General features: G+C 41.5%; 1 protein-coding gene across 14 annotated transcripts in view, besides 2 other annotated features; it reads left to right on the forward strand.

Moving 5' to 3' along the window:
• KLHL5 (kelch like family member 5) overlaps positions 1-10,955 on the forward strand; it is a 98,275-nt gene extending 87,320 nt beyond the window's left edge. For 6 of the 14 annotated variants that reach the window (XM_047415754.1, XM_047415749.1, XM_047415752.1 and 3 more), the window contains 2 exons: positions 1,775-1,909; positions 3,141-10,955. Coding sequence is in view for 9 of the 14 variants with exons in the window: in XM_047415752.1 (XP_047271708.1) it covers positions 1,775-1,828 (54 nt within the window). In the remaining 5 variants the exon portion in view is untranslated. Of the gene's footprint in view, positions 1-1,774 lie in introns of all 14 variants that reach the window. The other 8 variants (XM_011513700.3, XM_047415753.1, XM_047415758.1 and 5 more) reach the window with 4 other exon arrangements.
• Positions 3,416-3,465: a silencer, noted in NCBI's record as "silent region_15367". NCBI's record gives its function as "represses an Ori minimal core promoter by ATAC-STARR-seq in GM12878 lymphoblastoid cells {active_cell/tissue: GM12878}" and the evidence as "EXISTENCE:reporter gene assay evidence [ECO:0000049][PMID:35858748]".
• Positions 9,132-9,326: a silencer, noted in NCBI's record as "fragment chr4:39142898-39143092 (GRCh37/hg19 assembly coordinates)". NCBI's record gives its function as "represses an EF-1alpha promoter that drives an FKBP-Casp9 reporter gene in an ReSE screen in K562 erythroleukemia cells {active_cell/tissue: K562}" and the evidence as "EXISTENCE:reporter gene assay evidence [ECO:0000049][PMID:32094911]".
• Positions 10,956-11,952: the final 997 nt, after the last annotated feature.

Raw genomic sequence — 11,952 nt, forward strand, 5'->3', positions numbered from 1 at the left:
CCTCACTCCCCATTATCAGGAGACTACAAAAAAAGGAAAGGAAATGCATTGGAATGTCCAGGAAGAGGTGACCACAAACCAGTCTCCCCGGAAAGCTGCAGCCCAGATTCACGTTACTTGAAAAAGGAATCTGAATAATCCTATTTATTTAAAGAAAATCTTCCCACAAAGAAAACTCTAAACTGGGCGTGTTGGCTCACTCTTGTAATCCCAGCACTTTGGAAAGCTGAGGCGGGTGAATCACTTGAGCTCACAAGTTCGAGACCAGTCTGGGCAAAATGGCAAAACTCTGTCTCTACTAAAAATAAAAAAAGTGGCCAGGTGCCATGGTGCGCACCTGTAGTCCCAGCTACTTAGGAGGCTGAGTTGGGAGGCTCACTTGAGCCCAGGAGCAGAGGTTGCAGTAAGCCGAGATCACCGCACTGCACTCCAGCCTGGGCGACAGAGTGAGACCTCATCTCAAAGAAAAAAAAAAAAGAAAGGAAAAGAAAACTCTAGGCCTTGATATTTTCATTGTCATTTTCTACCAGTCAAGGAAGACTATCTTTCTGAAAGGTATTTAAGCAGAAAAATAAATGCCCACAGAAAATAGCACAAGGGAAACGCCCTAGCTACACAATTTTAGTACATTTCTCATTCATATTCCCTTCAACAATGCTAAAACGTGTTCATTTCATTACACTAAGCAATTCTATAATTACTCAAAATATGGTGAAAGACTTTCTTCTCTAATTCTATCTAGTCTTTCATATTGCTCACTATATTGACTGCCATTACTATAATCTGTTAAATAATGAGCATTTCAGAAAGTATTGTAATACCTAAAAATGTTAAATGATAGTCTAGTCGCAGGAATCAAAACCACAGTCCATCCACATCTGCACACTGGTGACAAGTCGTCTGACCATAATAAAATAATAACTTAATATTATATATTTTAATAGTCATAATTTTAAAATTATTCTCTCTTGTTAGTAATAAAAATTATTCAGGTCAATTTTTCTTTGGCTTATCCAGCAGATGTTTTAGATTAAATCAAAGTGTTAAAAATTATGCTAATTTATGATTCTTGGTTGTTTGCTGATACTGCATAGTTAATGGTATTTAGCACATTGTCATTTTTTCAACTAATTACATTGTGCTTTAAGATTTGAGCTAAAGATTTTTTTGCACTGAATTATGTACATTCATATAATAACCTGTGAGTATAGACTCCCAGGGAGCCAGGTAGAACTATTCAATTAAAGTTCATGATAAAAATGTGATAAGTATTATTGGCATAAGGAATATACTTAAAATTAAGGGTTTCATCTGTATGACTCACACCTGTAACCCAAGTGCTTTGGGAGGCTGAGGCAGGAGGATTGCTTGAGGCCAGGAGTTCAAAACCAGCCTGGACAACATAGCAAGACCCCATTTCCTAAAAAAAAAAAAAAAAGTTTTTAATTAAAAAAAAATTTTTTATCTGTAGTAAGGCAAAGTTCCCAAACAAATACATATTTAAATGAGCACCTTTCTGAAGGACAAAGATAGAGAAAAATGCCCAATATAATATTATACCTCAGCATTCTAGGTCAAAAGACCTAGAAACTATAGCTCTATAGTCAGCAAACTACAGCCCACAGGTCAACTCTGTCTGCTATTTGTTTTTATAAATAAAGTTTTATTGGAACACAGACATGCTCATTTGTTGATGTCTGTAGCAGCTTTTGTGTTATGACAACAAAGTTGAATAGCTGTGACAGCGACTATATCTTTTTCTTGACATTTACAGAAAACATTTCCAACCTGTGCATGGGGGATCATTCTTCCGTCACCTAGAATATGAGGCCTCCGAGAGGATGAGAATGAGGGAAAAAACTACAAAGAAAATGGTAGCAAATACTAGCAAAGAAAATGGTAAGCCAAGGTAAAGCTTCCAATGATAAGAAAGTAATTGAAAGAAGAGAGCATGGGGTGAAAGACCGAGGAATGAGGGCCTGAGCTCCACATGTCAGGGCCACCCTGAGAAAGTCTCTAAGAGCCTCTGAGAAAGTTTTCTCTGGGTCTGAAAACAATTAGGGACTATCTTAGCTGTGGAGGCACCTAAGTGAAATTGAGTTAAAAATTCATATTTTATTAAATTGCTTTAGACTTGTTCATTTGATTATTTTAACATAGGGAGGTTGAGTCAACTTGATATGTGACAGACACTGTACTAAGTAAGCATTTCATATGTATGTTAACTCATTTAATTTTTACAACAGCTGTATGAAGTAGATATGACTATTCCCAGTTAATGATACGCAAACTAGCTAGTAAATGTCAGAGCCAAATTTCAAAACCAACCAGATCTGTATGACCTTAGAGCCTTTTAAAAAATCTTTGCAAGATTGCTACATGGAGGTGAGTTTAAGCTGTCTACATTACACAGGATGATACATACTTGATGCCAAGATACATCCTCACCACATCTGTGCTACATTTTAAGTTTTTACTTTTAGTGAGTAGAAACAGGCTATATAATTCTGCCTATGGTGTGCCTGAATGGATACACACACAGAGAGGTTTCATAAGTGCCTTTCTATTTTCTTTTTAAATATGTTCTGTGAAAGGACAAAAGAAGGGCATTTTAGAAAGGATGGCATAGTTAATGACTTGGGTGCAGAGGGCTGTTGCTGTCAATAAAGCAGAGAGCAGGGATGCTGAGTGGAGCAGTCATGAATGGAAATGAGAGCATGAGCCATTAGCAGGAAGTCATAAACCCATTATTAGAAGTTTCATGTCATTGAAGGGAGCCAAATGCTTTACAATTCTAAGGACTATGAATAGCCACCTAAGGAGGATGCGTCTGCTGCTGTGATGTATCAGACAGAGTCCAGTTGGGAGACAGAAATCACAGGGTAATCTGAACAGGGAAGATTTTAAATAAATAATCATGTCCCATAACAGAGGATTGGACTCAGAAAGGATTGGCTGGTTATCAGGATCTGAGATTTGCTTTTGCCCTACTGGAGCTAATAAGCTGACCTGTTATGGTTTCATGGATGCTGGCAGAAGACATCCATGGGTTGAAGGAAAAGGATTTTATTACTGAAGGCACAGAAAGCAGTAGGAATATCGTGTTGGGGTCACTTCCCTGTGCCCTTCAATTCCCACAGGAACAAGACAGAGGATCCCAGGTGGAAATCCACGGAGCTTGGGAAATCCACTGCTTTTATAGTAAGTGGTAGGCTATCCTGCTCTTTGTCCTGGAGATTTCTCGCTGCAAACACAACCCTGAGAAATGGCCCAGCTAATCAGTAGTGGGCGGGGACGCTCAGAACCCGCAGCAGAGTGCCTCTCCCCTTCCTTCTGCAATGTCTCCAGCACCCTCTACCGACAAAATTAGCACTGTGCAGACTGGCGAAGGAGAAAAAGGCTCATGTCCACGTTGACTGAGCAGGTAATGAAGACTGGATTTGTAGATGAGAAGCACTAATTAAAAACTGGTGTGGGCCGGGCGCGGTGGCTCATGCCTGTAATCCTAGCACTTTGGGAGGCCATGGCGGGTGGATCACCTGAAGTCAGGAGTTCGAGACCAGCCTGGCCAAGGTGGTGAAACCCTGTCTCTACTAAAAATACAAAAATTAGCCGGACGTGTTGGTGCGCTCCTGTAATCCCAGCTACTTGGGAGGCTGAGGCAGGAGAATCACTTGAACCTGGGGGGCAGAGGTTGCAGTAAGCCGAAATCACACCATTGCACTCCAGCCTGGGCAACAAGAGCAAAACTCCATCTCAAAAAACAAACAAACTGGCGTATATGTTTATCAGCAGTACCAGACACGGCCGAATTATGATATGGTCCAAAAAGGGACAGTGATTCAATTCATTCTAACACGTGTGTGTGTGTGTGTGTGTGTGTGTGTGTGTGTGAGATCGCCACTATGTTCTCAGAGCTAAGGTAGCTCAAAGACATGAAAAAAAATCTACTCAAAACATAGATAGTACTTAAATAATTTAAAGTTTATTTTTAAAAATCATTTCCCTTCCTTAATAATAATAATTTTTTTTTTAACTGAGTCTTTCTCTGTCACCCAGGCTGGAGTCAGTGACATGATCTCTGCTCACTGCAACCTCCACCTGCCGGGTTCAAGAGATTCTCCTGTCTCAGCCTCCCGAGTAGCTGGGATTACAGGTGCCCACCACCAAGTCTGGCTAATTTTTGTATTTTTAGTAGAGACGCGGTTTCACCATGTTGGCCAGGCTGGTCTCCAACTCCTGACCTCAGGTGATCTGCCTGCCTCAGCCTCCCAAAGTGCTGCGATTATAGGCGTGAGCCACCATACCCAGCCCCTTCCTTAATAATTCAGGCCTAAAGCCATTAGGTAGTGTATAGGAAGGATGGCATCCACAGTGGTGTCGAGAGGACTCATGGTGACCCAATGTGGGGTATTGGAGTCCAAGCAGGGTGAAGAGGGTGGGCTACAGGGTGGGTGACCTGGCACAGGGTCTCAGACCCCCATCAGAGTAAGGACAGCGTCCACACAGCACGGCAGCCTGGCCCGGACTGTCAGAGCCTGAGTAGGATGAGGGAGATATCCACACCTGAGAACAGCCCAGCACCTGGGGGATTAGAGCCTGGGCACGATGGGGAAGGTGCCTGTCCAGGGGACAGCCTGCAGTGGCTAGTTAGCCAGGGCCCAGGGAGGGAGAGGACAGCACCCCTGTGCATGGTGTGGGCTTTCAGAGCCCAAGCGTTGCAAGGAGGCCATCCACGACGGAGAACTGCCTGGAAAGGAGAGTGAGAGCCAAGCAGGAAAACATGGGCATCTGGGCCGGAGTGGGTGTGGTAGCAGAAATTGGAGATTGTTTCCATAGAAGATTGATCAAACTAGTAATTATCTTAAGGAAAATGAAAGACAAGGTTTTCACTGTTGGAGAAGGAAGTTACAAATACAGCAGAGGAAAAAACAAGGATGACCCCCGTGGTGTTGAATTGGAATTCGGCATATTGTTGTAAACTCACGGTTTTCAAGATAGAGATAATAGATTAATAAATACATATGCAAATATGTGCGTGTGTGTGTATAGAAAGATAAGTAGACAGATATAGACCAACAGATATTCCTTAGGTAGACAGATACAGACCAACAGATATTCCTTAACTCTGAACTGAGCCAGCCTGAGAATAGCAATAAACACACCTCATGTCCAGGTCTTGGCTTCTAAATACCAATTTTTACAAAAAAAAAAAGAATGATCTTCACTTTGGGAGGCCAAAGTGGGGAGGATCACTTGAGCCCAGGAGTTTGAGACCATCCTGGGCAATATAGTGAGTCCCTGTCTCTACAAAAAATAAATAAAAAATTATCTGAGCATGGTGGTGCACACCTGTAGTCCCAGCTACTTGGGAGGCTGAGGTGGGAAGATTGAGCCCAGGAGGTCGAGGCTGCAGTGAACCCTGATCACGTTGCTGCACCCCAGCCTGGGTGATGGAATGAGACCCTGTCTCAAACAAAAACAAACAAACAAAGAATAAAATATCTTGGAGAAATGGCTGATTCCAGAGCTGGGGCATGGAAAATACAAGGTGAACCGGGAACATCTTACCATCTAACCAAAAAACGAGGTTGTGCTCAAAGACTGATGAAGACATTGTGGCCCAGTTGGATGGGCTTCCACTGGCCAAATAGGAGACAATTTAAGCATAAAAATAAATAAGATCTAATAGCCAGCATCTATATGGAACTTAAACAAATTTACAAGAAAAAAACAACTCCATTAAAAAGTGGGCAAAGGACAAGAACGGACACTTTTCAAGAGAAGACATACATGCACCAAGAATCCATGAAAAAAAGCTCAGCATCACTGATCATTACAGAAAAGCAAATCAAAACCACAATGAGATACCATCTCACACCACACTATTATTACAAAGTCAAAGAATAACAGATGCTGGCAAGGAAAAAGGAGCACTTATACACTGAAGTGCTCCTTTTACACACAAGTTACACACAAGTGAAAAAGCACTTATGCACTGTTGGTGGGAGTGTAAATTAGTTCAGCCATTGTGGAAGATGGTGTGGTGATTCCTCAAAGACCTAAAAACAGAAATACCATTTGACCCAGCAATACCATTACTGGGTATATACTCGAAGGAACAGAAATCATTCTATTATAAAGACATATGCACATGTATGTTCATCGCAGCACTATTCACAATAGCAAAGACATGGAATCACCCTAAATGCCCATCAATGATAGACTGAATAAAGAAAATGTAATACATGCACACCATGGAATACTATGCAGCCATAAAAAATAATGAGACCATGTCCTTTGCAGGGACACGGATGGAGCTGGAGGCCATTATCCTTAGCAAACTAACACAGGAACAGAAAACCAAATACTGGATGTTCTCACTTATAAGTAGGAGCTAAATGATGAGAACTCATGGACACATAGAGGGGAACAACATACACTGGGGCCTAATGGAGGGTGGAGGGTGGGAGGAGGGAGAGGATCAGGAAAAATAGCTAATGGGTACTAGGCTTAATACCTGAGTGATTAATTAATCTGTACAAGAAACCTCCATGACACAAGTATACCTATGTCACAAACCTGCACATGTACCCCTGAACTTAAAATAAGTTAAAAAAATTAAATTAAAAAATGAGAACCATGAACTATAACCATTTGAATAAAATAGGAACGCATATAAATATAAATAAAATAAATACATAAATTGAAAGTTTGATGAGGAACAAGATGTTTACATCGTTTTAAAGTAGCTCCCCCCAAATATTTATTTTTTTCAAAGGTCAGAGAGTAACTTTCAGTTGAGAAGCCTTGCAGACATCACCTTAATTAAGTCATCAAACTGCACACCATCAGCTGGGCGTGGTGGCTCACGCCTGTAATCCCAGCACTTTGGGAGGCCAAGGCAGGTGGATCACCTGAGGTCAGGAGTTGGAGACCGGCCTGTCCAACATGGTGAAACCCCCTCTCTACTAAAAATACAAAAATTAGCTGAGCATGTTGGCAGACGCCTGTAATCCCAGCTACTCGGGAGGCTGAGGCAGGAGAATTGCTTGAATCCAGGAGACGGAGGTTGCAGTGAGCCGAGATCACACCACTGCACTCCAGCCTGGGCATCAAGAATGAAACTCCATCTCAAAAAAAAAAAAAAAAAGAAAAGCCCATCATCAATACTGGGACAAATGATAATCTTGCCTAAACTATGGAGACAGTAAAAAGATCGGTGGGCACTAGGGGTTAGGGGAGAGGGAAGGATGAGCAGACAGAGCACAGGGTTTTTTCAGGGCAGTGAAACTATTCTGTATGACACTATAATTATGGGTGCATGTCATTATGCGTTTGTCCAAACTCACAGAATGTACCACACCAAGACTGGACCCTAATATAAACTGTGGACTTTAGGTGATGATGCATCAATGTGGGCCTCAGTTGTAACAAATGTAGCACTCTGGCGGGGGAGGTTGATAACGGGGGAAGGCTATGCATGTGTAAGGCAGGGGATATATGTGAACTCTGTACCTTCCGCTCAATTTTGCTGTGAACCTAAAAAACAAAATCTATTTCTTTAAAAAATCTTACTTCACATGATAGGATGCAATGAGAGGACGCAATAGTATCACTTCTGTGATGTTCCTGCCAAAGATGCATAATCTGGATCTAATCATGATAAAACACCAGACAAACTAAAATGGCAGGTCATCCTACAGAATAGCTAGCTTGGAACTTTCAAATGTGCTAAGGGATGAGATCTGAGGAAAGACTGAGTAACTGTACTAGATCAAAGACAAAAGAGACATGAGGCTGGGCGCGGTGGCTCACACCTGCAATCCCAGCACTTTGGGAGGCCGAAGCAGGCGGATCACTTAAGCTCAGGAGTTCGAGACCAGCCTGGGCAACATGGCAAAACCCCATCTCTAAAAAATAAACAAAAATTAGCAGGGTGTGGTGGTGCATGCCTGTATTCCCAGCTACTTGGGGGGGGCTGGGGCAGGAGGATTGCTTGAACCCAGGAGGTCGAGGCTGCCATGAGCCAAGATCACCCCACTGCACTCCAGCCTCAGTGACAAAGTGAGACCCTGTCTCAAACGAAACAAAAAAGAAACATGACAGCTACAAGCAGTGCATAATCCTGGATTGAATCCTTTCGCTATAAAGGACATTATTGAAACAACTGTCAACTTGAATGGCTCTGTGAATTAGATGATAGTAATGTATCAGTGTTTACTGCCTAACTTTTATGATTGTATTATGGTTTTATAGATAAGTGTCTTTGTAGGAAATACAAACTATTTCAGGGTGATGGACCCGCATGCTGGCAACTTATTCTCAAACAGTTCAGGGGAAAAGGTTTATTTAAACTATACTTTCAATTTTTCTGTAATTTTCTGATTGGTTCAAATTTTGGTTAAATAGTAAAAAAACAAAAATAGGCCCATTTTCAGGCTTGATACATGTTCTCCACATCCTAGGCTTCCTCCTTCCAGCTTCCACACAGCAAATATTTTTGTCTTCCTCAGATGCATAAGAAACATTAGTAGAGTTGAAAATAATCTACAAATAATTGATTATTGAAAACTGCACATCTGATCTCAGAATTGCCAATGAAGGTTCTCTGCACATTACCTCATCAACTCTTTCATCCCAGGGGTATGAGATGAATTTTATGAAAATGATCCATACTTGTGACATTGCAAATGAAGCAGATAAAATTCTATTTTCCATTTGTTCCTTTTGGGGAATTCTTAGAAGTAAATTGATACCCTTCCCTGTGGAAGAGATAAGAGAAAGTGAATGAAGGTTTGAAAAGAAGCATGGAGACCTTCAAAATTATCAAATTTTTGAGTTTAAGGTGATATTTACATTAAAATAGCTTGCCAGTGATGAGCCAATGAAGGGAAAAGCTTACTTTTCAGTTAGTTATGATTTCCAGGGCAGAGGAAAAGTAACAAGGAGACAGGGTCAAAGGAAGTGAGAAGCTGAACAGAACTTTTAAAGTTTAAACTTAAAGAATAAAAACACAAGAGAACCAGAAACAGGTTCAATTATGCTGAATACTCTATTTCCCAAACCTATCCTCTACTTGTCTCATTAATGTCTATATTTCTGAGCTATATTAAACATTCCACTTCCTTCATTCCCGCCTTCATTATTTTTTAGTCTTTTTTTTTTTTTTTTTTTTTTGAGATGGAGTCTCGCTTTGTTGCCCAGGCTGGAGTGCAGTGGCGCAATCTCGGCTCACTGCAAGCTCCACCTGCCGGGTTCACGCCATTCTCCTGCCTCAGCCTCTCGAGTAGCTGGGACTACAGGCGCCCGCCACCACGCCAGGCTAATAATTTTTTGTATTTTTAGTAGAGACGGAATTTCACCGTGTTAGCCAGGATGGTCTCGATCTCCTGACCTCGTGATCCGCCCACCTCGGCCTCCCAAAGTGCTGGGATTACAGGCATGAGCCACCGAGCCCGGCCTATTTTTTAGTCTTGAGACAGGGTTGAAGGTGGGTGTGGTGGCTCACACTTATAATTGTGCCCAGCAAATTGTGCCCAGCAATTTGAGAGGCTGAGGCAGGAGGAACACTTGAGCCCAGGAGTTCGAGACCAGCCTGGGCAACATAGCAAGACACTGTATCTATTTAAAAAAAGAAAAGAAAAAGAAAGAAAAAAGAAAAAGAGGGTGTTGAGGCTAGCAGCAGCCACAATTCGACTATGTGAAGGTGTTGTGCTACTGAATCATGAGAGAACATGAGCAAATCATTTAGAATTCAGTGGGCAAAAAGAGACAATTATGTTGTCTTCTAAATCTTTGAAAATATTGTTTTCATGATTCTTTTAACCAAAGTACCCTATAAACAATTATTTTTATCTCTGAGCCATTATCACTCACGACCACCTCCACCATTCTGTTATGTTTAGCATGCCGTGAAATCACAAACTACACAGGATCAACTGCTTTTTGACAACATCTGAATCATGACAGAGATATTAGAAAAATAAAATGTCTGAGTTCCAAATAAAATTTAAAATACAGTATATTCAAACTCAACATTTTAAGAAAATAATTGTATTTCCCTTTTCTTTTAAAAATTGATTTATTTATACAAAAATTAGCTGGGCGTGGTGGCGGGCGCCTGTAATCCTAGCTACTCCGGAGGCTGAGGCAAGAGAATTGCTTGAACCTGGGAAGCGGAGGTTGCAGTGAGCTGAGATCGCGCCATTGCACTCCAGCTGAGCGACAAGAGCAAAACTCTGTCTCAAAAAAAAAAAAAAAGATTTATTTAGAGAAATGTGGGAGACTTCTTCGGTAAAGTCAGTACTTCTGAAAGAGTATTTTCTCTCTTAAAAGACTGCATCCACTCTGGAGAAGCACCCAGCTGTTCCTTTTGAAACTAAGCATGGACTCATCCTATGATCCAGCAAGGGCACTCGTGGTGTCACTCATGGTGTACCAGAGAAAATGAAGACTGACTCCCAGCACCTTCATTCATAACAGCCCAACACTAGGAACTACCCAAATGTCCTGTAATGGTGAATGGTTAAAGAACCTATGGGACATCCATACCATGGAATACGATCCAGCCATAAAATGGAACAAACCTTTCACACAGGCAACAACTTGGAAGAACCTCAAGGAAATTATGCTGAGTGAAAAAAAAAAAAAAGCCAGTCTCAAAAATGGTGCATACGACATAGTTCTATTTATGTAACATCCAAAAAAATAACATAATTACAGAGATGAAGAACAGATTAGGGATTGTCAGAGGTTAGAGATATGGAGAGAGGATGAATGTGGCTGTAGAGGGATAGCTCTAGGGAGTCTTGTGGTGATGGTAGTATAGTCTCTTGATTGTGGTGGTGGTTATGCAAGGCTATGGATGTGGTAAAAGTGTATAAAGTTACACACACACACACACACAAGTGCATATGTAACTGGTGAAATCTGATTAAACTGTATGGATTGGACCAGTGTCAATTTCTTGGTTTTGATATTATTTTACAGTTGTGTATGATGCTAATATTTAGGAGGCTGAGAAAAAGGTACATGAGAATTTCCTGGACATTTCTTTGCAACCTCCTATAAATCTATCATTATTTCATAAGAAAAGAAAAAAAGCCCACGTACACACATTAAATCTTTATATTTAAGGTGACTTGTTTGAAGATACAAAGACGAGCAGGGGAGCAGGGGAGGGAATTGCTAGCTGTTTGGCATGTATGGTGGCCACTCCCTATGTATTGCCATAGCAATATGGCAGTATTTCCTATGAACAGCGTATTTTTAATATATTAACCAGGAAGATAAAAATGTGTTCTGCATTCAGTGCTAGCCACAGAGTTTCAAAGACCTGATGGAACCAAAGTGTGTTAAGGCCTTAGCTCTGTGTTATACTTGCCAACCTTCTAAGGGTATGGGTATCACATAGAAGAAATCTAAGGACAGGTTTCAGGGCCCTTGATCATTCCTCAACCTGTCAGATCCTGAGTGTTTATCACAGAATGTTTCAGTAAATCAGTTATATTACTTGCCCACCATTTTCACTCCTCCAGAAGATTATTTCTCAAACAATAACAACTTTTTCTAGGTTCCAAATATTATATCCATTGTTTGGCCTTAGTTTTTGTGTGTGTGTGTGGTTTTTTTGTTTGTTTGTTTGTTTGTTTAGAGATGGAGTCTCGCTGTGTCGCCCATGCTGGAGTGCAGTGGTGCGATCTCAGCTCACTGCAAGCTCTGCCTCCCAGGTTCACGCCATTCTCCTGCCTCAGCCACCCAAGTAGCTGGGACTACAGGCACCCACCACCATGCCCGGCTAATTTTTTGTATTTTTAGTAGAGACGGGGTTTCACCATTTTAACCAGGATGGTCTCGATCTCCTGACCTCGTGATCTGCCCGCCTCGGCCTCCCAAAGTGCTGGGATTACAGGCGTGAGCCACCGTGTCCGGCCTTGTTTGGCATTTTTA

This window comes from Homo sapiens, chromosome 4 (assembly GCF_000001405.40).
Source record: "Homo sapiens chromosome 4, GRCh38.p14 Primary Assembly".
NCBI lineage: Eukaryota > Metazoa > Chordata > Mammalia > Primates > Hominidae > Homo > Homo sapiens.